This window comes from Homo sapiens, chromosome 2 (assembly GCF_000001405.40).
Source record: "Homo sapiens chromosome 2, GRCh38.p14 Primary Assembly".
NCBI lineage: Eukaryota > Metazoa > Chordata > Mammalia > Primates > Hominidae > Homo > Homo sapiens.
In genome coordinates this window covers 46,605,538-46,630,893 of record NC_000002.12, presented here as the reverse complement: position 1 = coordinate 46,630,893, position 25,356 = coordinate 46,605,538, and the positions used below count along the sequence as shown (strand labels likewise).

The following is a 25,356-nucleotide window of genomic DNA, read 5'->3' as shown; positions in this document are numbered from 1 at the left end:
CCAAGAAATATCACTGGATGCTAAAATGAGTGTGTGAAAGTTTGTTGAGAAACAAAATAGTTATCATCTGAAAGTATTTCCCCACAAAATGCTTACTAACTTAACGTAAAAAATTAGAAACTTTACAGTAGAGTAATATAGCAGATATCACCTAATACAAGTGATCAAAATTAACATCCTTGTAATGGGACAACTGACACCATGATACGGTGCACTGAAAAGAACAATGCCATTTCTGTGGTATCCCCGCCAAAAATGTATAAGCTCAGTCTAATCATCAAGAAATACCAGAAAAACCCAGATTAAGAGTTACTCTATAAAAAGTCTACGGGTTGGGAACAATAGACACTGAGGACTACTAGAGGAGGGAGGGAGGGAAGGTGCAAGGGTTGGAAAACTACCTATTGGGTACTATGCTCACTACCTGGGTGTCGGGATCAATGGTGCCCCAAACCTCAGCATCACGCAATATACCCATGTAACAAACTTGCACATATACTCCCTGAGTCTAAAATAAAAGTTGAAATTAAAAAAAAAAATACAACTGGCCCATAACCTTGGCATTTTGAAAGACTGGCTGAAGAACTGCTCCAGAATAAATGAGACTACAGACATGACAACTAAATGTAATGTTACTCCAGAGTGGATCCAGATCAGACTTTTTTTTTTTTTTGCATATTACTGAAACAATTAGCAAAATATGAAAAAGATTTGATAATAGTAAAGTATTAATGTTAATTTTCTGATTTTGGTAATTGTGCTATGGCTATGCAGGAAAACACCCTTGTTCTTTGGAAATACAAACTTAAGTAATTGGGGTAAAGAGGCACCACATCTAGTAAGGAATATTCAAATGGCTCAGAAAAAAGTACTTACTCGAAGTTGATGATAAAGGGAAACCTCTTCCTTACAGTAGAATGATGACTAATTAATACAGAAATAATAATAGAGTTAGAACAATCACAATTTTGGAAACATCCTAGTAAAAATTTATTCAGACAAGAATCGTCAAAGGATGCTAAACCTAGGAGGGGTAGATTTGATGAGGAACAGAATTGTCAACAAGGTCTCAAAGTTTCTCCTCACAAATTACCCACTAATTGCAAAAGGAAAAACAATAACGATACACTGGAGAAACTGGACATCTTACCCAAGTGATCAAAATTAGCATCACCAATAAGGGACAAATGGACATTCTGTGCATCTGGATGTATACCTGCAATACATATCACTTACAGCATTTCAACCCTCACTGCACTACCCCAATCTAACCATGAGGAAACATCAGAAAAACCCAAATAGAAGGATACTCTATCCTTTAGCTGTCCTGTATTTTTCAAATATATTACTATTATAAAAAACAAAGAAAAGCTGAGGAACTGCTCCAGATTAGAGGGTTATGGCAATACAACATATGATCCTAGGCTGGATCGTGGAGCTGAAAAAAATTACCAATAAAACAGCAAATGAAATTGAAATATGGACTGTAAAGTATTATGGCAATGTTAAATTTCTGAACTTGATAGCTGTACTTGGGTAAGACAGCATGCTTGTTCTTATGAAGTGCATGTGTAGTGTTAAAGGGTAAAGAGTATGATGTCTACAATATACTTTCTAATGGGTCGAGGATTCTAGGATACACACCCCCAGTTAAGGGAACTGGGAGTTAAAAGGTATTCGAAGGCTGCCATAAGGATGTAAAGAGTTAAGTCTCTACCCTTACACCCACTCCAGAGAAAAACAGTACTATTAGCTTCCTGTGTTTTCCACATGGATACAAAAACTTTTGCACACATATGTAATTCTTCTATCATTCTGACAGCTATATATTCTAATGGATGAATATATAAAATGTACTTAAGTGTTCTATTGGCATTTGTTTCTAGTATCTTTTATATTACAATCTGATATCTTAACAGATTCTTTCATCACTTTTACATTTATTTTGATAAAAGTTAGGTTTGGCTTTAATTCCTTGTTTTTAAACTTTTTTTCTGCATTTTTCAACTCTGGCTGTGGCATAAGGCCTTAATTCTGTCATCTTATTTGGTTATAGTGTCTGTTTGTATGTCTTCCTTTTAAAAATATTTTATGTTCATGTTTTGTTTTAGGGTTTTCCTCCTCATCTAGTAAATACTTCTATTCAATTTATGACCATCATTATTATTATTTAGAGAATATGGAGATGGTTCTGAGGTACAATACAACAAAAATCTTCATAGGAGAACCTAAGTGCGGCCACTGGATGATCCATTCATGGAAGGAGGCTACTCAAAGTATGAAGATAAAATGTGAGCTGGACAAGAACTACAAAACACGCTGAAAGAAATCAGAGATGACACAAACAAATGGAAAAACATTCCAAGCTCATGAGCTAGAAGAATCAATATCATTAAAATGGCCATACTGCCCAAAGCAATCCACAGATTCAATGCTATTCCTATCAAACTACAAACATCATTTTTCACAGAATTAGAAAAATCCTGCCGGGTCCAGTGGCTCACGCCTGTAATCCCAGCACTTTGGGAGGCTGAGGCGGGTGGATCACAACGTCAGGAGTTCAAGACCAGCCTGGCTAAGATGATGAAACCCCATCTCTACTAAAATTACATAAATTAGCTGGGCATGGTTGGCGGGCTCCTGTAATCCCAGCTATTTGGGAGGCTGAGGCAGGAGAATTGCTTGAACTCAGGAGGCAGAGGTTGCAGTGAGCTGAGATTGCACAGCTGCACTCAGAGCCTGGGAGACACAGCAAGACTCCGTCTCAAAAAAAAAAAAAAAGAAAAAATCCATTCTAAAATTCATATGGAACCAAAAAATCAATCCTAAGCAAATAAAACAAAGCTGAGGTATCACATTACCTGAGTTAAACTATACTATAAGGAAGCTACAGTAACCAAAACAGCATGGTACAGATATAAAAACAGACCCATAGACCAATGGAATGGAACAGACAGAAATAAAGCTACACACCTACAGCCATCTGACCTTTGACAAAGTTAACAAAAATAAGCAACAGAGAAAGGATTCCCTAATTCAATAAATGGTGCTGGAACAGCTGTCTAGCCATATGCAGAAGACTCAAACTGGACCCCTTTCACCATATATATAAAATTACCTCAAGATAGATTAAAGATTTAAATATAAGGGGCCGGGTGCAGTGGCTCATGCCTGTAATCCCAGCACTTTGGGAGACTGAGGTGGGTGGATCACTTGAGGCTCGGAATTCAAGACCAGCCTGGCCAACATGGTAAAACCCCATTCCTACTAAAAATAGAAAAATTAGCCAGGCGTGGTGGCATGTGCCTGTAATCCCAGTTAGGTTGGGAGGCTGAGGCATGAGAATCGCTTGAGCCTGGGAGGTGGAGGTTGTGGTGAGCCAAGATTGTACCACTGTACTCCAGCCTGGGCAACAGAAGGAGACTCTGTCTTTGGGGAAAAAAAAAAAAAAAGATTTAAATGTAAGACTTCAAGCTATAAGAGTCCTAGAAGAAAACCTACGAAATAACATCTGGACATCAGCTATGGGAAAGAACTTACGGCTAAGTCCTCAAAAGCAATTGCAACAAAAACAAAAATTGACAAGTGGAACCTAATCAAACTAAAGAGCTTCTGCACCGCAAAAGGAACTATCAATACAGTAAACAGACAACCTACAGAATGGGAGAGAATATTCACAAACTGTGCATCTGAAAAAGGTCTAATGTCCAAAATCTATAAGGAACTAAAACAATTCAGAAAACGAAAACCAAGTAACTCGTGGCCAGGTGTGGTGGCTCACTCCTGTAATCCCAGCACTTTGGGAGGCTGAGATGGGTGGATCACCTGAGGTCAGGAATTCGAGACCAGGCTGGCCAACATGGTGAAACCCTGTCTCTACTAAAAGTACCAAAATTAGCCACGCTTGGTGGCAGGCACCTGTAATCCCAGCAACTCAGGAGGCTGGGGCAGGAGAATCGCTTGAACCCGGGAGGTGGAGGTTGCAGTGAGCTGAGATGGTGCCATTGCACTCTAGCCTGGGTGACAACAGTGAAACTCCATCTCAAAACAAAAACAAAAACAAAAATACACACACACAAACAAAAACCCATTAAAAAAATGCCAAAAGACTTGAACAGACACTTCTCAAAAGACAACATACAAGCGGTTAACAAACATGAAAAAATGCTCAACATTACTAATCAGATAAATGCAAATCAAAACCACAATGAGTTACAATCTCACACCAGTCAGAATGGCTATTATCAAAAAGTCAAAAAAATAACAGATGCTGGTGAGGCTGTGGGAAAAACGGAATGCTTCAACACTGTAGAAGCCAGTGCAGTGTAGAATGCGCCTACACTGATGGAAATGCAAATTAGTTCAGCCACTGTGAAAGCAGTTTGGAGATTTCTCAAAGAAGTTAAAACAGAACTACCATTTGAACCAGCAATCCCATGACTGGATATAAATCCAAATGAAAATAAATTGTTCTACCAAAAAGACACATACACTCACATATTCATCACAGCACTATTCACAACAGCAAAGACACAGAATCAACCTAGATGCTCATTAATAGTGGACTGGATAAAGAAAATTGGTACATATACACCACAGAATACTATGCAGCCATAAAAAAGAATGAAAATCATGTCTTTTGCAGCAACATGGATGCAGCTGGAGGTCATTATAGTGAATATACACAGGAACAGAAAACCAAAGACCGCATGTTCTCACTTATCAGTGGGAACTAAGCAATGGGTACACATGGACATAAAAATGAGAACAGACATAGGGGACTACTGGAGGGAAGAGGGGAGGGAAGGGGTGAAAAACCACCTGTTGGACTCTATGCTCACTACCTGGGTGACAGGATCATTTGTACCCCAAACCTCAGCATCACAAAATATACCCATATAACTCACCTGCACATGTACCCCTACATCTAAAATAAAAGTTGAAATTATAAAAACAACAACAACAACAAAAAAAATGAAATGTGAGTTAGGCAAGTCCAGATTCTAGCTGATCCCTGAGAAATGTACTTTTCTCCAAGTCAATGAATCCAATCTTTAATGGATCTGGGATGCTCTCTGACCAGGTCCTGTTATGAGTTTCCTGTGTTATAATTAAAAACCCCAAACTGATTAAGCATGAGAGGATACTTCCTGCTCTCAGATAAATTATTTATTATATTCTGTATTATCCTTGTAATTTTTCTGGATATGAATAAATAACAATGTATCTCAGAAAAACACATTTTGAAAAGCCTTATAAAGTTAAAACTTTAAATGCTTTTCATCAAAATGTTATGACCAATAAAAATGCCATTCATGTATCTCATCACACTTTCTATACATTTTGTAGTGATATGTATTTATACATACTGCAGTTGGAAATAGGGAATGCTTTTTTGGTTTCCCACGGTAGGCTGCAGGTTTTAAAAGCAGAAGTCCTGAACCTCTGAAGGCAACATAAGAAAAGTATTCATTTGAAACCTGTAGTGTTAAAAAAAAAAAAAAAAAAAAAAAAAAAAGAGAGAGGCCAAGTTCTGTGGCTCACACCTGTATCCCAGCACTTCGGAAGGCTGAGGCCAGAGGATTGCTTGAGATCAGAAGTTCGAGAACAGCTTGGGCAACATAGTGAGTCCTCATCTCTACTAAAAATAAAAACTAGCTGAGCACAGTGGCACACGCCTGTAGTCCCCAGCTACTTAGGAGGCTGAGGGGGAAGAATTGCTTGAGCCCAGCAGATGGAGGCTGCAGAGAGCCTGATGATACCTCTGCACTCCACCCTGGGCAACAGAGTGAGCTCTTGTATCCAAAAAAAAAAAAAAAAAACAAACAAATTTTAAAAAGGGAGAGTCAAGATGTTTGCTCTATTTATTTCTTTTAGGGGGCAAGACAGGAGGTAAAAAAAAAAAAAAAAAAGTTTGGTTTTTGCTTCAAAGAGCTTTTCTCAGAGCAGGGATTTATTTTCATTACATGCAACATGGACAAACACTGTTCTGGTTTTCATGACAATTTGAATTCAAAGTAATATGTTTTTCTAAAATTCAGTGTATTTATTTGGCCATATGGATGCTCCTTGTGTTCTTGGTCACATATTAAAGAAACTGGCACTTTGGCTGCAAGAACAAATAAAAAATATCATAAATCCAACTGGTCTTTGATTTGGGTCTAGGTTAATAACTAAAGAACCATTCAGCAATAATGGCTTGAAACATTTATATATCCTATGAAACCGCAATTAGTTAAGAGGCTGCTGATTCTAATAACTATGACACCAGCAAGGGAGTGAGGGGAGAAATGTTAACTCTGGATGCCAAATTCAGAGCAAAGTATCTATTATCTCCTTCTCACTTTTGCAGTATCTATAAATAAAGTGGTGGGGGGAGAATTATATGAATAATGTTAAATAAAAGTGCATACAGAACTGAGAAATATTTTCATGGAATTTGCCACTTAGTTCTTAAAATTCTTATAAGGAAAATAACCATTTACAACAAAAGACTAGTTACACTGTTGCTGTTTAGAACATGAGAGCAAAATGAGTAACAATCAAATTCTCTGGTTTAAACTTAATTATCTTAAAACATGTTATTCTGTAAGTTGACATCTATGCCTTGAAAATTCAAGGCAGAAAGTAAAATCATTTAGAAAGCCAGAAATTCCATCAATACATCTAGACAGATGTTTGCTTGTAGTTTTTGGTATCCAAAACCTTTTTTCCACACATCGCACAGATGCCTGAAACAAAAGAAGATATGTGATCAATCAAATCATAATACCAACTGTTTGGTTTAAGTCAATCCTGAAGCTTAAAACATAATTTAACAGCATCAGGAAAGAAAAGAAAAGAAAAAAAAAATATATATATATATATAATTTTAATTATAAACAGGTTTTAGGTTCTATTTTGCCTTAGGATAAAGAGAGTGTTTGGCTAACAGAATTTATGACAGGCTACATCTTTTCTGTTAACCAAATTAGCAGCAAATGAAGTCGGTTTTATGAATAGAAAACGGTATTAAAAGAAACTTACCTTTTTTGTAGGCACAGCCCTGGCAGTAATGAGAACCTGGTTGGTGCACAGAACTTTTACAAATTCTACAAGTGGAGAACTTATTCTTTCCATATGGATCAAATCTAGAAATTTTTTTTAAAGAGAGAAAATTGTATATTACACTAGAAACACTCTTAAATAACCCCACTTACGCAACACACAGGATTAATCCATGCTCTCCATCCCTCCATCAACCTCTACAATTGATGGGTTTAGCCTATTCCAGATGGCTACTGTCTGATATGCCTGTACATCTCTGCTCTGCTCCATCCATGTGAGATATATACTTATAAAGAATCAGTTGTACAGTATTTATTCTTGACGTGTTCATATCAGTCGTATCTGTCATTCTATTTGTGTGACATAAATATTATGGAAACTGATGAAATGTGGGTGCAAAAAGAGTGACTGATTCCATATAACCTAAGTGACTATTTTAGGATGACTAGGAATCATATGAATTGCTATTGAATTAGGTATGGGTAAGACAACTGTTGAAAACTGGGGGAAAATCACTAGGAAAGTAACTCCACACCTCAAGCATCAATTTTTGCTCTACTTTAAAGAAACTGAACATATTCTGATTGTGATTTTTGTGACGACAATCATGTAAAGCACTTATCAGTCGATTTATGCTCAAAAGGCTTTGTTTCAATACCAAATGATTAATGCATCTACAGTTATGCGCTTTAATTTAAAATAAAGTATGTGTATCTTTTAATGACTGCTTACATTAGCTGACATTTTTAATTAACTGACTCAATCCTTTTAGATAAAAGGGCTTCCACTATATAAAAATGCCATCTTATAGTGACAGGAGTGAAAAAAAGAAATACTTTCCCCTAAAATGGCAATAATACTCTGATTTAAATGTGCTTCCCTAACATTTTTACAAAATGAGTTTTTGTAATGATCCTCATATACTAGATACGAAACACCGTCCTAGAACTGGTGTCTTCTCTTGGGTATAGTACAACAGCCCATTTACAAAGGTTAATTTTTCCAAACACAGAGAATATCACTTTTTTTTTTTTGAGACTGAATCTCACTCTATCGCCCAGGCTAGAGTGCAATGGCGCAATCTTGGCTTACTGCAACCTCTGCCTCCCAGGTTCAAGCAATTCTCCTGTCTCAGCCTCACAAGTAGCTGGGATTACAGGCATGCGCTACCACGCCCGGCTAATTTTGTATTTTTAGTAGAGATGGGGTTTCTCCATGTTGGTCAGGCTGGTCTCGAACTCCCAACCTCAGGAGATCCGCCTGCGTTGGCCTCCCAAAGTGCTGGGATCACAGGCGTGAACCACTGCGCCCAGCTGAGAATATCACTTTACTCCCCACAAAAGATAGGTACTCTTCTTCCTTTCAATAAGTTCAATTTGTTTGGACATGTATTTCCAGAGGCTATTTTTTCTTAAAACCATATTTTATTATTCAAAAATACACATTGTAACCTTGGAAATCTTTTTTTTTTTTTTTTGAGACGGAGTCTCGCTCTGTCGCCCAGGCTGGAATGCAGTGGCGCAATCTCGGCTCACTGCAAGCTCTGCCTCGTAGGTTCATGCCATTCTCCTGCCTCAGCCTCCCGAGTAGCTGGGATTACAGGTGACCGCCACCACGCCCGGCTAATTTTTTTGTATTTTTAGTAGAGACAGGGTTTCACCATGTTAGCCAGGATGGTCTCGATCTCCTGACCTTGTGATCCGCCTGCCTCGGCCTCCCAAAGTGCTGGGATTACAGGCGTGAGCCACCGCACCCGGCCTAACCTTGGAAATCTTAAAACTGGCAGAGTTTTTTCTTAAAGTAACAATGCATCTTATAAATAACAGTACCATAGATTCCAAGCAATACTGTAGTACATTTTCCAAAGTAAGAGAGTACCCAAGAGTTACAGCTACTTTTTAATGATATCAGAGTAAGTTTGAGAGCATAAAGGAACTGGAAGTATATAAAAGCATAAAATCTGTACAAATAATAGCTCAGTCAATAAAAACAGAATGGTTCTCAAAGACCTCAATAAGTCAGTCAATAATATATAGTGTGAATCTGCATTAAAGATGCTATTATGTGCTAGGCACTGTATGTAGTTAAGGCTTTATTGTTGTTATTTCTAATCCTTGGGATGACATCAGAAAACAGGTATTTATTCATTCAGCAAATATATACTGAGTGCTTAATATTACATGGTATTTACTGTTCTAAATACCAAAGATGAACATGATAGGCAAAGCCCTTGCCCTCATCAGATAATATTGTAGTGAGAAGAGGTAAACAGTAAGTAAGGAAACAGACAATCTAATAAAACAAGCAAGGTTTTCAAATAGTAGTATTATAGAGAAAATTCTAACAGGATACTAAGGCAGAGATGAGGAAAAGGAAAGAAGAGATTAGTTTAGATGCTGATTAGGGAAACTTCTCTGAAGCTGAGACCCAAACAGCAAGAAGGAGGCAGATACGTAAGCTCTAACGGAAGACTCCTAGGAGACAGCAGCAAGTACAAATCTCTTTGGATGGGAGTGGGCTTGGCAGAACTAATAAAGACAGCATATGATGAATGAGGAGCAGTGTGGTACAATACGAAGCCGGAGAGGTGGGAGGGGTCATATTAAGGAGGACCTTGTAAGAACATGGTAGGGGGCTTAAATTTTATTCTATGTGAAAAAGAAAACCAGTGGCGGATTTTAAGCAAAGGAACTTTGTAAAGGATCACTCTCGTTACTATGAGACAACTGCGGGAAACTAGAGAAGCAGGAAGATAGTTCAATAGTTATTACAGTTCCAAGTAAGAAATAACAGTGGTTTGGAAAAGGGTAATAGCAGTGAGATGTACAGAAGCAGGTGGTTTCAGGTTACATTTTACGTTTTGGAGGTAGATCCAAAGAACTTGCTGATGGATAGGGGAAGTAGGGGAAAGGGAGGACTCAGTGAGGAATTCTAGCTTTTAGGCTTGAACAAGTGGATTAGAGAGTGGTGCTACTATGATGAGAAGACGGAAGGAAAAAGAAGTGGCCTGTTAGACATTAAATGAGGTATGTCAGATAAACTGCTAGATATACGTTTAGAGCTCAGAGAAGTCAGGCCAGAGGTATAAATTTGGGAGTTATATATATATAATAATATTATAATATATATATAATAATATTATTACATATATATATATATAACATATAGCTTGAATTTAAAGCCAGTAGATTGAAGTCACTCTAAAAGGTCACTTGTGATCTCGACAAGAACAGTTTCAGGGCTGTTGTGGGGATAACACATGACTAGAGTGGCTGAAGGAGGGAAAGGAACTTAAGGACACTGAAAAAGTGTCTAGGTAAGACTTTGGAAAACTTCTGATGTGAAGGGGAGCAAAGAAATCAGATGGCAGATGAAAGGGTTCACGAAATTTTTTTTCTGAAAGAGACTCTCACTCTGTCAACCCAGGCTGGAGATCAGTAGTGCGATCCTGGCTCACTGCAGCCTTGACCTCCCTGGGATCAAGTGATCCTCCCACGTCTGCCTCCTGAGTAGCTGGGACTACAGGCGCGTGCTGCCACACCCAGTTAATTTTTCTGTCCTTTGTAGGACAGGGTTTCACATGTTGCCCAGGCTGCTCTCAAACTCCTGGGCTCAGATAATCTGTCTGCCTTGGCTTCCCAAAGTGCTAGGATTACAGGTGTGAGTCACCTTACCCAGCCGAATTTTTAAGCTGGATATAATAAAGTGTGGTATCAAACACTTGTTTTTAAGATGGGACACTTTTTACGCAATTCTCAGGAAAAAGTAAAGTTTAGAAAGGTCACGAAACATGCTTAACTTGCTTAAGGTCATAAGGCTAGACAGTGAGTCTAGATTCAAATTTAGGTCTGACTCCAAAGCTTATGATCTTTCCACATTTGCCTGCTGTCTCTGATTCATAAGATAATTAAGAAGGAGATAAAATAAAAGTCATGTTTTCTGGTGAAACTGTAAGAGAATAACACTAATATCTTCATATATTGATACAGTGAGGAGGAATAAGGTAAAACCAGCAGGATTATAACAGATAGCTTGGTTCTGAGTGCTAGGAACCACCTAACTCTGTTTTATTGCAAATGGAATGATGCACATCAAATTCACTCCAGCAGACTTAATACTAAAAGAAGGAAATTTATGTGACCCATCGATGGATCCTCTTACCCACCTTGCTTTTTTTGAAGTCAAAGCTTTATTTTCATTCAGCTTTCTTCCACCACTTTCTGTATCAGAATAAAAGATATTTTAGTGGGTTATTTCTATACATTTAACATATAATATTAAGAAGTTCATTCCTTGACTTTCTACCAAAATAGTAGTCTATATCTAATTTTTAAATCCTCATTTAATAGGTTATTAAGATACTGCTTAAAAAGAAAATATTTATTAGGGAAACAGTAAAAATTTGTATAAAATACAATCATTTTATTTCTCAGACTCAAGGGAGTACTTTAGGAATGGGTCTATATTTACTCTATATAGCATAAAATCTAGAAGCCACTATATCAGTGTCATAGACCTTGAATATAATGAAAATGTTTATTTTTCTACCCATTGAAAACATACTTTACTATATGTATTTAATAATAATGAAGGTAAATACTTCATCATAAGTAATTAATGATAATGAAGGTAAAATGGGTTAAAGCATTTATTCAAGAATATAAAAATCAGAAGATTAAAAAAATTTCTCCTCAGAAGAGTGCAGAAATTAAATACAGACTCTAAATAAGCTGAATCAAATCAAATACTCTGATAATCAAATACTGTGATATTGCCATCACTTGACAATCATTTAATAATTTTGCTATCTCCTGATATTAGGAACCCGTACAAGTAACTGAGAACTAAATAGAAGATATTAAATCACTTGAGGACCCAGTATTCTTTAATGTTTAATAGATAAAATACTTTGAACACATAACATTTCATTGTACAAATAATGTAAAAACTAAGGTATTATTCACAGTAAGTATTCGGTTAAATTCCTATTTTCTAAAAGAAGAAATACCTGTGGTATTCCTAGCACCATCTTTCCATGTATCTGGAGTGATAACAGTACCAAGTTTCTTTTCACCTGTTAGAACAAGATAGTAAAAGGAAAATTAAACTTTATTATTTAATAAGTGCATTACATTGTGCCTAAGGTTCACAATGGTATCGACTATCAATGGTATTACCGTAGGAGCCTGTTAATGCTGGGAGAGCAGCCAATCAACTGAGACTCATATTAACTGTGGCCAATGAATGACTGACCCTCAGTAAAATGCGTAGGATAATAAGATGACTTATAATAAGCTTTCACTGTTGGTTTATATTTTAAACAAATCTGGTAAGTCTATTTGTTCCATAAATATATACTAAGCATCTATCATGTATAAACTATACAAAGTGCTGAGAAAAATGAAGTGATGAATCAGACACAATTTTAAAGGGATTACAGTACACTAATTTCTTTAACAGCAATCTGTAACCTGGGTTCCACAGGTGGATCTTAAGAGATATGCGAACAAGGTGGAGTTGTACACAAACCTTTTATATATTCATTTTTTTTTCCTGGCAAGAGTCTATAGTTTTCATCAGATTATCAGAGGGATCAGAGACCTTCCCCCCAAAAAGAACCATTCAACCAAAATGTAAGCTTAAAAAATAAAAAGTATAATAATCGACAGCTAAAGTACTAGAAGAAATTCCATGCAGGAAGAAATAACCCTAGCTAAGGAAATCCAAGAAAAGAAAGTTTGGGGAGAAGGCAAGACAGAGGATTTGGATATGTGGCAATAGGACTGTGAACAAAAAGGAGTAAAGAGGATGAAGGCAAACTAGATAAAGGACACATTCTGAGGAAAGGCATAGAAAGCTTAGAGTACACATGGGCACAAAGAGTATTTTGTTTGGTCAAAATGTGAAGAGGATAAGCCTCAGTGAAGATGAAGCTGGAAAAATAAGTTGGGGCCTTAGTGTGGAGGGTCCTGAACGCCAGGTTCCAAATATAGAATCCCCAAATTATTCTCTGCACACTGAGAATTTATTAAAGGTTTTAAGTTAGGGAAATAATAATTTGCACTTACGTTGATTTTCAATTCAAGCATCTTCTGGGCTTACTCTAAGCCATATCCTGGCATAATGACTAATGAGAATGAATAAGGCAAAGTCCTTAGTCTTTGGTTCTAGTGTCTAGCATTTGGCAGGAGAACAATACTTCTTACATGAATAGAAAGGAAAGATCAAGAATTGCCAAGACAGAAAGGTGTCGTTGGGGTTTAACTGCACATTTTTATATGGGAGGAGAGCTGATGAGATCTGGGGCTGGGGGAAGGCAACAGAAATAGACAAGGAGGTGCAGAACTGAGACCATTCTGAGTACAAAATATATAGGACTGTATGGTCGTTGGGAGGTGCAAAAATGGTCAAAGGGTAGGGTAGAAAGACAGCGGATAGAATCTGAGACCTGTGGGCGAAGAAAAAACAACGAGAAAGCAAAGTTCCCGGGAGAGCTCAGTTAGGTTCTCCCAGCCTCCTCCTCCCGCAGAAGCGGCCCCTTAACTCACATTTTTCGCACACCATCCTTCCCCACGACGGTTCCCCTAGCCGCAACAGCAGCAGCAGCAGCAGGCTGAAAACAACAACACTACAACTTGGAAGTATTCCCCTTCCGGGCTACGTCAACCCACTTCCGGCTTCTAAGCCCATACTCCCGCCTACCCCAAACCTGGAAAGCCGCTGCCCCTTTTGCCCGCCCCTCCCTTTCTGCGACTGGCTGTTAGGCGTGGGTCTCCGCCCCACAGCCCTGCGCCTGCGCGTGGGCCTGGGCCGCCCGTCGTACCTGATGGTAGGAGGCAGTAGTTCCCCGCTTCCCTTCCGCGGGAGGGAGAGTTAGGTAAGCCCCGCTGGACGCCCTCGGCGTCTCGCCTCACGAGGTGCAAGCTACCCCCGCGAATTGCCGAAGCAGCCCTGAGCCTTGGCGCCCCGACCCGCCGGCGCTCGCCGTCAGCTCAGCGCCACTCTTCCGGCGTGCCCTGATGGACAGACCCCCTTTCGGATCCGAGTTTTCGCCTCTGTCCCCCAGTTTTCCCTTGTCTTCAACTCCCATGCTCTTTGATCCTGCCTCTCAGCTGGTTCCTCGCTGCCCACGCTTGCGCCGGCGTAGGCTCGGGCAGAATCCCGAGGGACCCGGGTTGGGGTGGGGCTGCCGGTGAAGGTGCGGCGATGCCCGCGAAGGCTCCTCTGGGTGCCGCTCGGAAGAGCCTTCTCTCCGCTGCGGTGCGTAGCGAGGTGGGCCGGGTCATGCCCGTGGCACTTCTGCAGGCGTCCTGGGGGCACGCCAGGGCCTAACCGGTGCTGGTTCCCTCTTTGCTTACTCTGGTTCCTTCATTCATTCAGCAAACATTTGAGTTTGGGTCCTGCTCACTGTATTACATCCACATCTGCTGCTGGCAGCTGCGATTCCGAGGGTGGCTCAGAAAAATCGCTGAAGGGCTATCTGTTGAGAGAATGGATTCCTGATCCCCTTGCCCTCCCTCAATCAGCTTAAGATAGAATCTATGGGAAACTTTCCCTTTGTCCCTTCTTGCCATCCGTTTGCTTTTCATGCCTAGTGTATTTCCTTATACCAGAGAGATGGCTGTAGCGCATGGGACCTTGGACCACCTCACCTGTTTGCCGTGTTTCCTTATCAGTAAAATATCTGCCTTTGAAAAGCATTGGGTGAATTAAATGAGAGCTATTAGGATAAGGCCCAGGTTCGCCTTTCTGCTTTTCTCACTAGTGGGCGCCCCTCCGCCCACGCGCGCGCGCGCGTGTGCGTGTGTGTGTATAGTATTTTTTTTTCTGAGATATTTCTATTTTCTGGAATATTCTCCATAATGTAACATATTGACTGTTACTTTAAATTAATAAAGTCCTTGTTTAGCAGTACAATTAGTCAGCTCTCAGGTAATTTAAATACGTGTATTTTAGAGACGGTAATTTTTTTTTCCTCCTTCCGTTCGTGCTCTACTTTTGGTTGGAATTTAACACCTGTAACAGACGTTGTCATCTTGGTATTTCTGAAGCATTGGGATCCCTTGGTTTAGTGTGGTGCTCTTTGAACTCTTGATTCCACTGGCCACCATTTGAGTATTGGAATGTGCACTTGGTGTCATTTGGCATTTGCTAGAAGATGTGAACTACTGTAATGTTAGACAAGAGTAAAAAAAAATACCAACAATTCAGCCTAAGTATATTTGTGGAGTTGTTGGAATTATAACCTATGCATTCTAGAAACCGCATAAATAAACTTTGGTTATAATTGCAACAGGCAGTAGATAATTTAATCCACACAGTTGATTTCATCTCTTTGATATTGGCCAAAAAAGTTTAAATGAATTGCTTTATTGGTCCTAGGACATGACCCTTTTGCAGAAACCAGTCACAATATTTAAGAAATTAGTAAATTTGTTCTTTTTAGGCTCTGAGAGATGTTTGTACCATATTAAGAAAATCAAAGGTAGAATAGAAAGCTAAGTCTGTATGTGCATCTACACGTCTGCATCTTTTGTGTTTTGAAACAAATACATTGCTCATAGAAAATTGACTTTATGACCTATTTTTAGGGGTCAAAACATTTAAGACAATGGAAAAAGTCGTTATTGCATATGCTCTTCTTTTCTTGTTTTTTGTTAGCTAGCCATCCAAGAAAACACCATGAAAGATAACGATATCAAGAGACTACTGTATACCCATCTTTTATGCATATTTTCAATTATCCTAAGTGTCTTCATTCCATCACTCTTCTTGGAGAACTTCTCAATATTGGAAACACACTTGACATGGTTGTGCATCTGTTCTGGTTTTGTAACTGCTGTCAATCTAGTACTATATTTAGTAGTGAAACCAAATACATCCTCTAAAAGAAGTTCATTATCACACAAGGTAAGGCTTATGTCTCAATAACTGATTTTTGGATGGAGCTAGTGTTTCTTTTAATGGAAGAATAAAGTATTCATCAAGTCTTTATTAGCTTATTTATAGTGAGCAAAGGGAACCTGATATTTTTCCCCCCAAATTGGTAGGCTGTTACTTGGTGGAAGGCTGCCCACAATGTTTGATTGATCCTTGCCTTGCATTAATTATGGAATTATGACTTCTTCAGAGCATATTATAATATTGTGAGCCTATATAGTCATTGTTTTATGTCACCATTGAAAATAAATACGTGTGACAGTCTATCTTTAAACCTTACTCAATAAGACATTGCAGTTTATTTTTATTATTTTTGCATTTCTGAAAGCCACTTAGTGGGATTTTCAGAAATTGCAATATAAGCCTGTGGTAATGCTTGTTTCCAACATGGCCTTCCTTGACTAAACAATTTTCAGATATTAGAATCAATTTTCCAGAATATTCACTGCAGTAGATATTCACTTGGCTATTACTAATAATGTCCACACTTAACATTATTTTCTACCATGTATAAGCTCTGTTAGGTCATTTACTGCCTATGATTGGAAAAGCTGAATGTATGTGTTATGTTTATATATTCTTAAGCTCCAAATCAAGAAGATCTCATGTTTCTTTGTAGATGTTCAGGTCTTTTTTCATACGGGTTGTGTAATATGAGTGTGATTTCAAGAATTATTTAGTATTTTGCTTTTTCAGTGCAGTTTTCCCAGGAATTTTGTTTTAAAATGAAAAAAATTGTTATTTTCTGCAGATATTTCCTCTATCATCGCATAATACTGTATTTTTTGTATCCTAGCTCTCTGATGTCAATCAGTATTTGATAAATATTGATTAATGACATAGCTCTATATTACCATGGAAACAGAACCTCTTTTCGACTCATGTAGGTCGGATGGGTAGAATATGGGCGGAAGGTGGTATTTGCCTTTTAGGCTTTTTTAGTCTGTATCGAAGGCTGTGTATGTGACGGTACAGGACATGTGATCTGATTTGAGTATACCCAAGAACATTTGAACTGTTTTACACATTATGGGAACAAGTTGTGTTTGTAGATGAAATGGAAGAATTTATTGTCCTTTAAGCATTATCTTGAATCTTCAGGTTATTCATTTCTCTTTTAGGTAACTGGATTTTTGAAATGCTGTATCTACTTTCTTATGTCTTGTTTCTCCTTTCATGTAATTTTTGTTCTGTATGGAGCACCACTGATAGAGTAAGTTTGAAATTTTTACCCTAAATTTATATTTTAAAACATTCATTTACCAAACTGTGTGCTAATTCTTAGCAACTAGAGAAAAACCATGATGTGCATCATTAATAGATCAAGTAAGGACACCAACATCATTAGCAGTGTTATTCTTTTTTAAAAAAAACAGCAGAATAACTTAATTTATTAAATACTCTTGTTACCTAGCCTTCTAGTATCCAATTGCATGTTGAGAGAAGGGAGAGTAGAGAAACTATACTATACCAATAAGTATTTGGCCCTTAGAACCTCTGAAAGAACTTACTATGATTATATGTGTAAGTTATAATTAGCATATCAGTTCTTATAAATGTGATTCTAAAGTACTTGAATGGAGTTTTTCTTAACAAAAGTCAATAGATTCCTGTATTCAAATACTGAATAAGCTGGTGTTTATAGTTTAAAGGTAAAATTTAACACTTTTTCTGAACTGACAAATTTCAAATTCTTAGAAACAAAATTCATGAATGTTTCTTACATAATGTTTATCATAGTTTGAGAAGCTTCAGTTTAGCAGTGATTAATGATCATGGTGAAATGAGTGATGAGATACATATACATATACACACACATATATTTGTGTTGCTAAGTATACCATTTTATATATATATATATATTTATACATAGTTTTACGTACACACACTAAACTGACAGGTTATTCTTTTCTAGATGGGAGAGAACAAGACCTTTGTAATGGAAAATGGTGGTTCCTGTCTAATCCATTTTAAAGCAGAATGAATGTGTCTGGCACAGTGGTTCTCAAAATGTGGTTTTCAAACCAGCAGCATCAGCATTTTATCAAAATGCAAATACTCAAGCTTCAGTCAGAAACTCTAGGGGTAGAGCCCCCACCAATCTTTAGTTTATCCAGCTCTCCAGGTGTTTCCAATATATGTTAACCACTAGTTGTAGAGAACCACTACAACTAGTATTCAATAGTGGTTCAATAGTGGTTCAATAGTGTATTGAACCACTAGTTGTAGAGAAAGTTCCAGAGAGACTATTGAGCAGAAAGCTAACTATCTAGAAATGGATTTTGTTTGTTTGTTTGTGTTTGCAGTGAAAGTCTCAGCATGGATCCTAGGGTCTTTAACACTTCTGAAATCTATCATTAAAGCGAAATACTTGCTAGATTGTTTTTTAAAGCTACATGTTGGTGGTAAAATTATTTATAGTCATCATTTTGGTGGCATTCATGTTACCTTTCAAAGTAAAGCATAGGAAGATATTTCACATTTTATTTATATAATAAAGATTATGTATGTGTATGTTTACCTTTAACACTTTTTTAAAAAGTAATCTTTTTTTTTTTCTAGGTTGGCATTGGAAACATTTTTATTTGCAGTTATTTTGTCTACTTTTACTACTGTGCCTTGCTTATGTTTGTTAGGACCAAACCTCAAAGCATGGCTAAGAGTGTTCAGTAGAAATGGGTAAGTTTTAATTTTATATTATAATGATATTGAAATTAAAAAATAATTAATGAAGTATTTTTCTATTCATGGCAGTTTGCTGATTATTCTGAGTGCTTCTCATTGCTGATGGTGCTCAGAGATGCCTTAAGGGGTCACTGCAATTAGGGACTGGGGACAGGGCAGGCAGAACTACAAGCCCCTCCCTCCACGTTAGCAAGATCAGCTCTCCTTTTTTCTGTATGGTAGAATTCCACCTAGCCTTTTGTTTGTTTAAAAAAAAAAAGAAGAAGAAGAAATAAAAAAAAATTCTACTATTAAAAGAAAGCCTTGAAAACCATGGTTCTGGGATAATTTGGCACTGTGATAAGACTGCTGTAAATAAAATTGCTTACATACATTTTATAAGGTAGAAGTGGGGTCCACAATCTAAAAATGTGTTGTGTAACAATGATAATTTCTTGTTTAGCCTTTTTTGTGATAAGATACCAGAGCTCAAGTTTTATGAGATTTCATTTCCTTGGTGGCCGTATATATTTTCAGCATGGCTAAGTTAAAATTTTAGCTTCTTGAAAGTCATTTAAATGATATGCACCAGAAATAGTGGAGATCTAGCTAAGAAAGCCAGAAGGTTATTTGATTCTTTCCTATTTATCACCCAGCAGCAAGAACTTCTTGAGCACTTAGTCTGTGCTCTGTGTTATTGTGTTATGCTAAGCTGTGTGTGGTTTCTGAAGTATTAGGAGGAATCTTTTTTTTTTTTTTTGAGATGGAACCTCGCTCTGTCGCCAGGCTGGAGTGCAGTGGCATGATTTCGGCTCACTGCAACCTCCATCTCCCAGGTTCAAGTGATTCTCCTGCCTCAGCCTCCCAAGTAGCTGGGACTACAGGTGCATGCCACCATGCCCAGCTAATTTTTCTATTTTTAGTAGAGACAGGGTTTCACCACACTGGCCAGGATGGTCTTGATCTCGACCTCATGATCCGCCCGCCTCGCCTCCCAAAGTGCTGGGATTACAGGTATGAGCCACCACACCCGGCCTTATTAGGAGGATTCTTTTGCTGAGGAGCTTATCTGTTCAAGGGACAAAAATGAGCAAATAACATCAGATTACAAATGTGTAAATCCAGCAATAAGTGGTGTAGGAACTCAAAGGGACAGAGCATCAGTAAAGAATGGAGGGGGAGATGGGAATGATCTATGATGGACTTAAGTCAAGAGTATATGATTTGGTGAGACCAAGAAGGAAGAGAAAGGCACCTCGTGCAAGGAGAATGGATAAAAGCATTGAAACTGAAATGAACAGGGTATTTTTGTGTGATTTGAAAGGTAACAGCCCAATGAGAGCAAAAGATGCATGCTGAGTAGCTTGGCTTCATAAATTACCGACTTATTCCCTTTGAAATCAGTACTGTTTGGGACGAGTGTGGTGGCTCACGCCTGTAATCTCAGCACTTTGGGAGGCCAAGGCGGGTGGATCACCTGAGGTCAGGAGTTCAAGACCAGCCTGGCCAACATGGTGAAACCCCATCTCTACTAAAAATACAAAAATTAGCTGGGTGTGGTGGCGGGTGCCTGTAGTCCCAGCTACTTGGGAAGCTGAGGCAGGAGAATTGCTTGAACCCAGGAGGCGGAGGTTGCAGTGAGCCGAGATCGCACCACTGGACTCCAGCCTGGGCAACATAGTGAGAATCTGTCTCAAAAAAAAAAAAAAAAAAAAAGGAATCAGTACTGTTTTCCCTTGGAACCGTCTTCTAATATTCATAAAGTCTCTAGAAAACAGAAGTGTAACAACTGAAAGCATTTTCTACATTATTACCATAATATCCCAAATGGTATTAATTGCTTTTAGCCTTTTAGTTTGAAATTTTTAAATAGTGAAATTGGATTGAAATCTTATTACTTTGGATTAGTGATTTCTCCAGTTTTCAAGTCTATGTCTAATAATGGGTGTATTTGGGGGAAATACTGTCATGTGATTTTACAATTAGTTCTGCTATAATGTGGCCTGTGTGTTCCTAAAAATCACTACGCTGTACAAAATGGGCAGTAAAAACCACAGAGCTTATGGGAAAGATGGGGTTAGGTCATAACACTAAAACAATTCATCAGTGACATGTAGAGAGAAGATGGGAACTTAATAAAAATGGTAGCACAGTTTTACACGTTTAAAATGGTTACAAAATACAGGCATACCTCATTTTATTGTTCCTCACTTTATTGTACTTCTCAGATATTGCTCAGATCAGATACTGTTTTTTATAAATTGAAGGTTTGTGGCAACCCTGCATCAAGCAAATGTATCAGCGCCGTTTTTCCAACAGCATGTGTTCTCTTCATTGGAAACTCTCACAATATTTCAAGCTTTTTCATTATTATTATATCTATTATGGTGATCTGTGGTCTTTGCTGTTACTTTTTGTAATTGTTTTGGGGCACCATGGCTCATACCCATATAAGATGACGATCTTAATAAATGTTGTACATCTTCTGACTGCTTCACCTACCAACGTGTTCTCTCTGTCTCTCTCCCTTCCCCACCCTCCCTCTCTCTCCCGTCCCTGTTCCCTGAGATACAAAAATATCAAATTTAGGCCAGTTAATAACCATACTATGGTCTCTTAAGTGTTCAAGTGAAAGGAAAATTTTACTTGTCTCTCACTTTAAATCAAAAGCTAGAAGTGATTAAGCTTAATGAAAAAGTTAAGTTGTCAAGAACTGAGACAGACTAAAAGTGAAGCCCCTTGTGCCAAATAGCCAAGTTGTGAATGCAAAGGAAAAGTTCTTAAAGGAAATTTAGTCTACTCTAGTAAACACATGAGTGACAAGAAAGTGGAACAGCCTTACTGCTGATGGGGAGAAAGTTTTATGGTCTGGATGAAAGATCAAACCAGGTACAACATTCTAAGCCAAATCCTAATCCAGAGTAAGCCTCTCACTCTCTTCATTTCTGTGAAGGCTGAGAGAGGTGAGAAAGTTACAGAAGAAAAGTTTGAAACTAGCAGTGGTTGATTCATGAGGCTTAAGGAAAGAGGCCATCGCCATCACATAAAAGTGCAAGGTGAAGCAACAAGTGCTGATGTAGAAGCTGGAGCAAGTTATCCAGAAGATCTAGCTAAGATTGTTGGTGAAGGTGGCTAAATAACAGATTTTTAATGTAGACAAAACAGCCTTCTATTGAAAGAAGATGCCATCTAGGACTTTTAAAGTTAGAGAGGAGAAGTCAGTGGCCACCTTCAATGCTTGACAGGCTGACTCTCTTGTTAGGGGCCAGTGCAGCCAGAGACTTTAGTTGAAGTCAATGCTAATTTACCATTTTGCAAATCCTAGGGCCCTTAAGAATTATGCTAAATCTACTTTGCCTATATACTGTCAATGGAACAACGAAGTCTGGATGACAGCACATCTGTTTATAACATGGTTTACTGAATATTTTAAGCTCACTTTTGAGACCTACTGCTCAGAAAAAAAAAATCCTTTCAAAATATTGCTGCTCATTGACAATGTGCCTAGTCACCCAAGAGCTCTGTTGGAGATGTACAAGAATATTAATGTTTTTTTCATGCCTACAACACAAGATCCATTCTGTAGCCCACGGATCAAGGAGTAATTTTGATTTTCAAGTCTTATTACTTAAGAAACACATTTTGTAAGGCTATAGCTGCCATAGATAGTGATTCCTCTGATGGATTTGGAAAAAGTAAATTGAAAACCTTCTGGAAAGGACCATTCTAGATGGATGCCATTGAGGACATTTGTGATTCAAGGGAGGAGATAAAAATATCAACATTGACGAGAAGCTGATTCCATTCCTCATGAATGATGTTGAGAGGTTCAGGACTTCAGTGGAGGAAACCACTGCAGATGTGGTGGAAATAGCCAGAGAACTAGAATTAGAACAGGAGCCTGAAGATGTGACTGAATTGCTGCAACATTATGATAAAACTGGAACAGATGAGGAATTACTTCTGGATGAGAAAGAAAATGGTCTCCTGAGATGGAATCTACTGGTGAAGATGCCATGAATATTGTTGAAATGACAACAAAGGATTTAGGATATTGCATAAACTTAGTTAATAAAGCAAAGCAATGGCAGGGTTTGAGAGGGTTGACTCCAATTTTGAAAGAAGGTCTACTCTGGGTAAAAGGCTGTCAAACAGCATGGCACGCTACAGATCAATCTTTTCTGGAAGGAAGAGTCAATTGATGCAACCAACTTCATGGTTAAAATTTCACTTTAAGAAATTGCCGGCTGGGCGCAGTGGGTCGTGCCTGTAATCCCAGCACTTTGGGAGGCTGAGACAGGCAGATCACTTGAGGTCAGGAGTTTGAGACCAGCCTGGCCAACATGGTGAAACTCTGTCTCTACTAAAAATACAAGAAAAATTAGCTGGGCGTGCTGGTAGGCCCCTGTAATCCCAGCTACTTGGGAGGCTGAGGCACAAGAATCACTTGAACCCAGGAGGCAGAGGTTGCAGCGAGCCGAGATTGTGCCACTGCACTCCAGCCTGGGCGATAGAGCGAGACTCAGTCTTAAAAAAAAAAAAGAAAAGAAATTTCCACAGCCTCCCCAACCACCACCCTGATCAGTCAGCAGCCGTCAACATCAAGGCCACATCTTCCACCAGCAAAAAGATTACAACTTGCTGAAGGCTCAGATAATTATTAACATTTCTTAGTAATAAAGTATTTTTAAATCATGTGCATTTAAAAAACTAATGCTATTGCCCACTTAATAGACTATGATACAGTAGAAATATAACTTTTATATGCACTGGGAAACCAGAAAATACATATGACTCACTTTATTGTACAATTTGCTTTATTCTGGTGGTCTGGAACCAAATCTGCAGTATCTAAAAGGTATGCCTGCACCCAAATATTACAATAAACATAGCACTTTTCCTTGGAAAAGGTTTCCTTGGTAAAGGTTTGCTTCTGGAAATAGACATGAGAAGGGTTGCCTATTGTGAGTTATTGCGAAGTGATGAGATGGTTGTTGGAAATCTGAGGGAAAATTAACACCAGATGTGCGTATGTGTGGCTCATGACACGTAGTAAACTGAGGTAGCTGGGAGGTGGTTATTTTTTAAAACAGTATTGAGATATAATTCACACACCGTACACATCATCTATTTAAAATATACAATTCAATGACTTTTTGCAACCACCAATCTACTTACTGTCTCTATAGATTTGCCTATCCTGGAAATTTGTTATAAATTGGGTCTTATGTGATCTTTTGTGACTGCCTTTTTTTACTTAGCATAATGTTTTCAAGGTTTATCTATGTTGTAGCATGCTTCAGTACTTCATTCCTTTTTGTGGCTGAATAATATTCCATTGTATGGATATATATCAAATTTTGTTTACCCATTTATCAGTTGATGGACATCTAGGTTCTTTCCACATTTTGCATTTTGGTTGTTGTGAATAAGCTGCATCAAACATTTGTGTATAGGTTTTTTTATGGACATATGTGTTTATTTATCTTGGGTATGCCTTGGAGCGGGATTGCTGGGTCACATGGTAGTGTTAAGGGTTTGAGAAGCAAGCTCCAGTGTTCAAACTCTGTAAAGTGCAGTTTGGTACTATCTGTAAAAATTACAAATATACTTCTTCGACCCAGCAATTCTACTTCTTGGATTTTAACCAGTAGGTATACTTGCACACTTACAAAATGTTGAATATATAAGATTACTCATTTCAGCATTGAAAATTACCTAAATATCCTTTAATAAGGGATAGGGTTAGGATAAATTTAACCCACACTGTGAAGTACTATGCATTTGTAAAAACTAAACACATAAAAACAGAAAAAAACCCCAAAACAAAACTCTTTATTTACCGATAAGTTAGTGGAAAAAAGCAAGGTGAAAAAATGTGTACAGGATGCTACCATTTATGTCAAAAGTTGTCAGAGGGCACAGATACACGTATATTTCTGGAAGGATATGTGAGAAACTGATAAAACCTGTTGTCTCTTGCGAGGGGATCTGAGAAGCTAGAGGACAAAGTAAGGAGACTTTCCACTGAATATCCTTTGCTATCTTTTGAAATTTGAACCACATTAGTGTACTACCTAGTCAAAATAAAAGTTATAATGAGTTAGAGTTTGCCAGTACTTAACTTTCTTCTTGCTTATGGAAAGTAGGCTTATGTCAGGAAATTGCTAGATTTCTCTGATGTCACCTAAACTTCAGTAGACTGCAAAAGTTGTCCTAAAATTTCCAACATACTGGAGAACAGCCTAGTCTCCAGAGGACTATGGCTAAAAATTATCAATTTATAATGTGAAACATTTTATATAATATCACATAGCACATGACATGAAATAGCAATGCAAAAATATTTTAATAACTTTTAAAGCATTTTCATTATAGAGTTTCTCAGAGCAATCTAGTGAGATACTCACTTTCACCATTTTCTAGATGAAGAACTTAGAAAGCTGACAGGTTAAGTGATTTGCCCCAGTTCTGTAGCCAGGAAGTAGTAGAGCTGGGATTGGAATCTAGATCATTAGATGGTGTAGAAGTTAGACGACTCCAGTAATTGAGGATCAGAAAACAGGTTCTTGCCCTGTTTTTACTACTTAGCGGCCAAGTGATCTTAGACAAGCTACTTAACTTCACATATGTAATATGATTAGAATAAAACTAATATGTACTTTGCAGGGCTGTGTCAGAACTGAGTGAAATGAATGAAATCAA

The 25,356-nt window shown here is 38.0% G+C and overlaps 2 protein-coding genes across 5 annotated transcripts in view, besides 2 other annotated features; one reads left to right on the top strand and one right to left on the bottom strand.

Annotated features, from left to right (window-relative positions):
- CRIPT (CXXC repeat containing interactor of PDZ3 domain) lies at positions 718-13,679 on the bottom strand. Its single transcript, NM_014171.6, has 5 exons — positions 13,596-13,679; positions 12,056-12,121; positions 11,213-11,267; positions 7,027-7,130; positions 718-6,731 (listed from the first exon to the last, which is right to left on the bottom strand). The coding sequence occupies exons 1-5, from the start codon at positions 13,609-13,611 to the stop codon at positions 6,667-6,669; spliced, it is 306 nt and encodes a 101-aa protein (NP_054890.1). The 5' UTR covers positions 13,612-13,679; the 3' UTR covers positions 718-6,666.
- Positions 4,279-4,348: a silencer, noted in NCBI's record as "silent region_11452". NCBI's record gives its function as "represses an Ori minimal core promoter by ATAC-STARR-seq in GM12878 lymphoblastoid cells {active_cell/tissue: GM12878}" and the evidence as "EXISTENCE:reporter gene assay evidence [ECO:0000049][PMID:35858748]".
- Positions 13,853-25,356, top strand: part of PIGF (phosphatidylinositol glycan anchor biosynthesis class F) — a 36,105-nt gene continuing 24,601 nt past the window's right edge. For all 4 annotated transcript variants that reach the window (NM_002643.4, XM_011532908.4, NM_173074.3 and 1 more), the window contains exons 1-4: positions 13,853-13,924; positions 15,709-15,957; positions 17,109-17,200; positions 18,550-18,666. In NM_002643.4, the coding sequence (NP_002634.1) occupies positions 15,730-15,957; positions 17,109-17,200; positions 18,550-18,666 (437 nt within the window). In that variant the 5' untranslated portion in view covers positions 13,853-13,924; positions 15,709-15,729. The remainder of the gene's footprint in view (positions 13,925-15,708; positions 15,958-17,108; positions 17,201-18,549; positions 18,667-25,356) is intronic.
- Positions 14,177-14,226: an enhancer, noted in NCBI's record as "active region_15715". NCBI's record gives its function as "activates an Ori minimal core promoter by ATAC-STARR-seq in GM12878 lymphoblastoid cells {active_cell/tissue: GM12878}" and the evidence as "EXISTENCE:reporter gene assay evidence [ECO:0000049][PMID:35858748]".

Bases quoted from the DNA above. Each gene is read 5' to 3' on its own strand.
- CRIPT (NM_014171.6), bottom strand. The intron at 7,131-11,212 runs GTGGGTAAGAGG...AAAAATTTCTAG, and splicing joins TTGACTTCAAAAAAAGCAAG to ATTTGATCCATATGGAAAGA. The intron at 6,732-7,026 runs GTAAGTTTCTTT...CTTTTGTTTCAG, and splicing joins GGGCTGTGCCTACAAAAAAG to GCATCTGTGCGATGTGTGGA.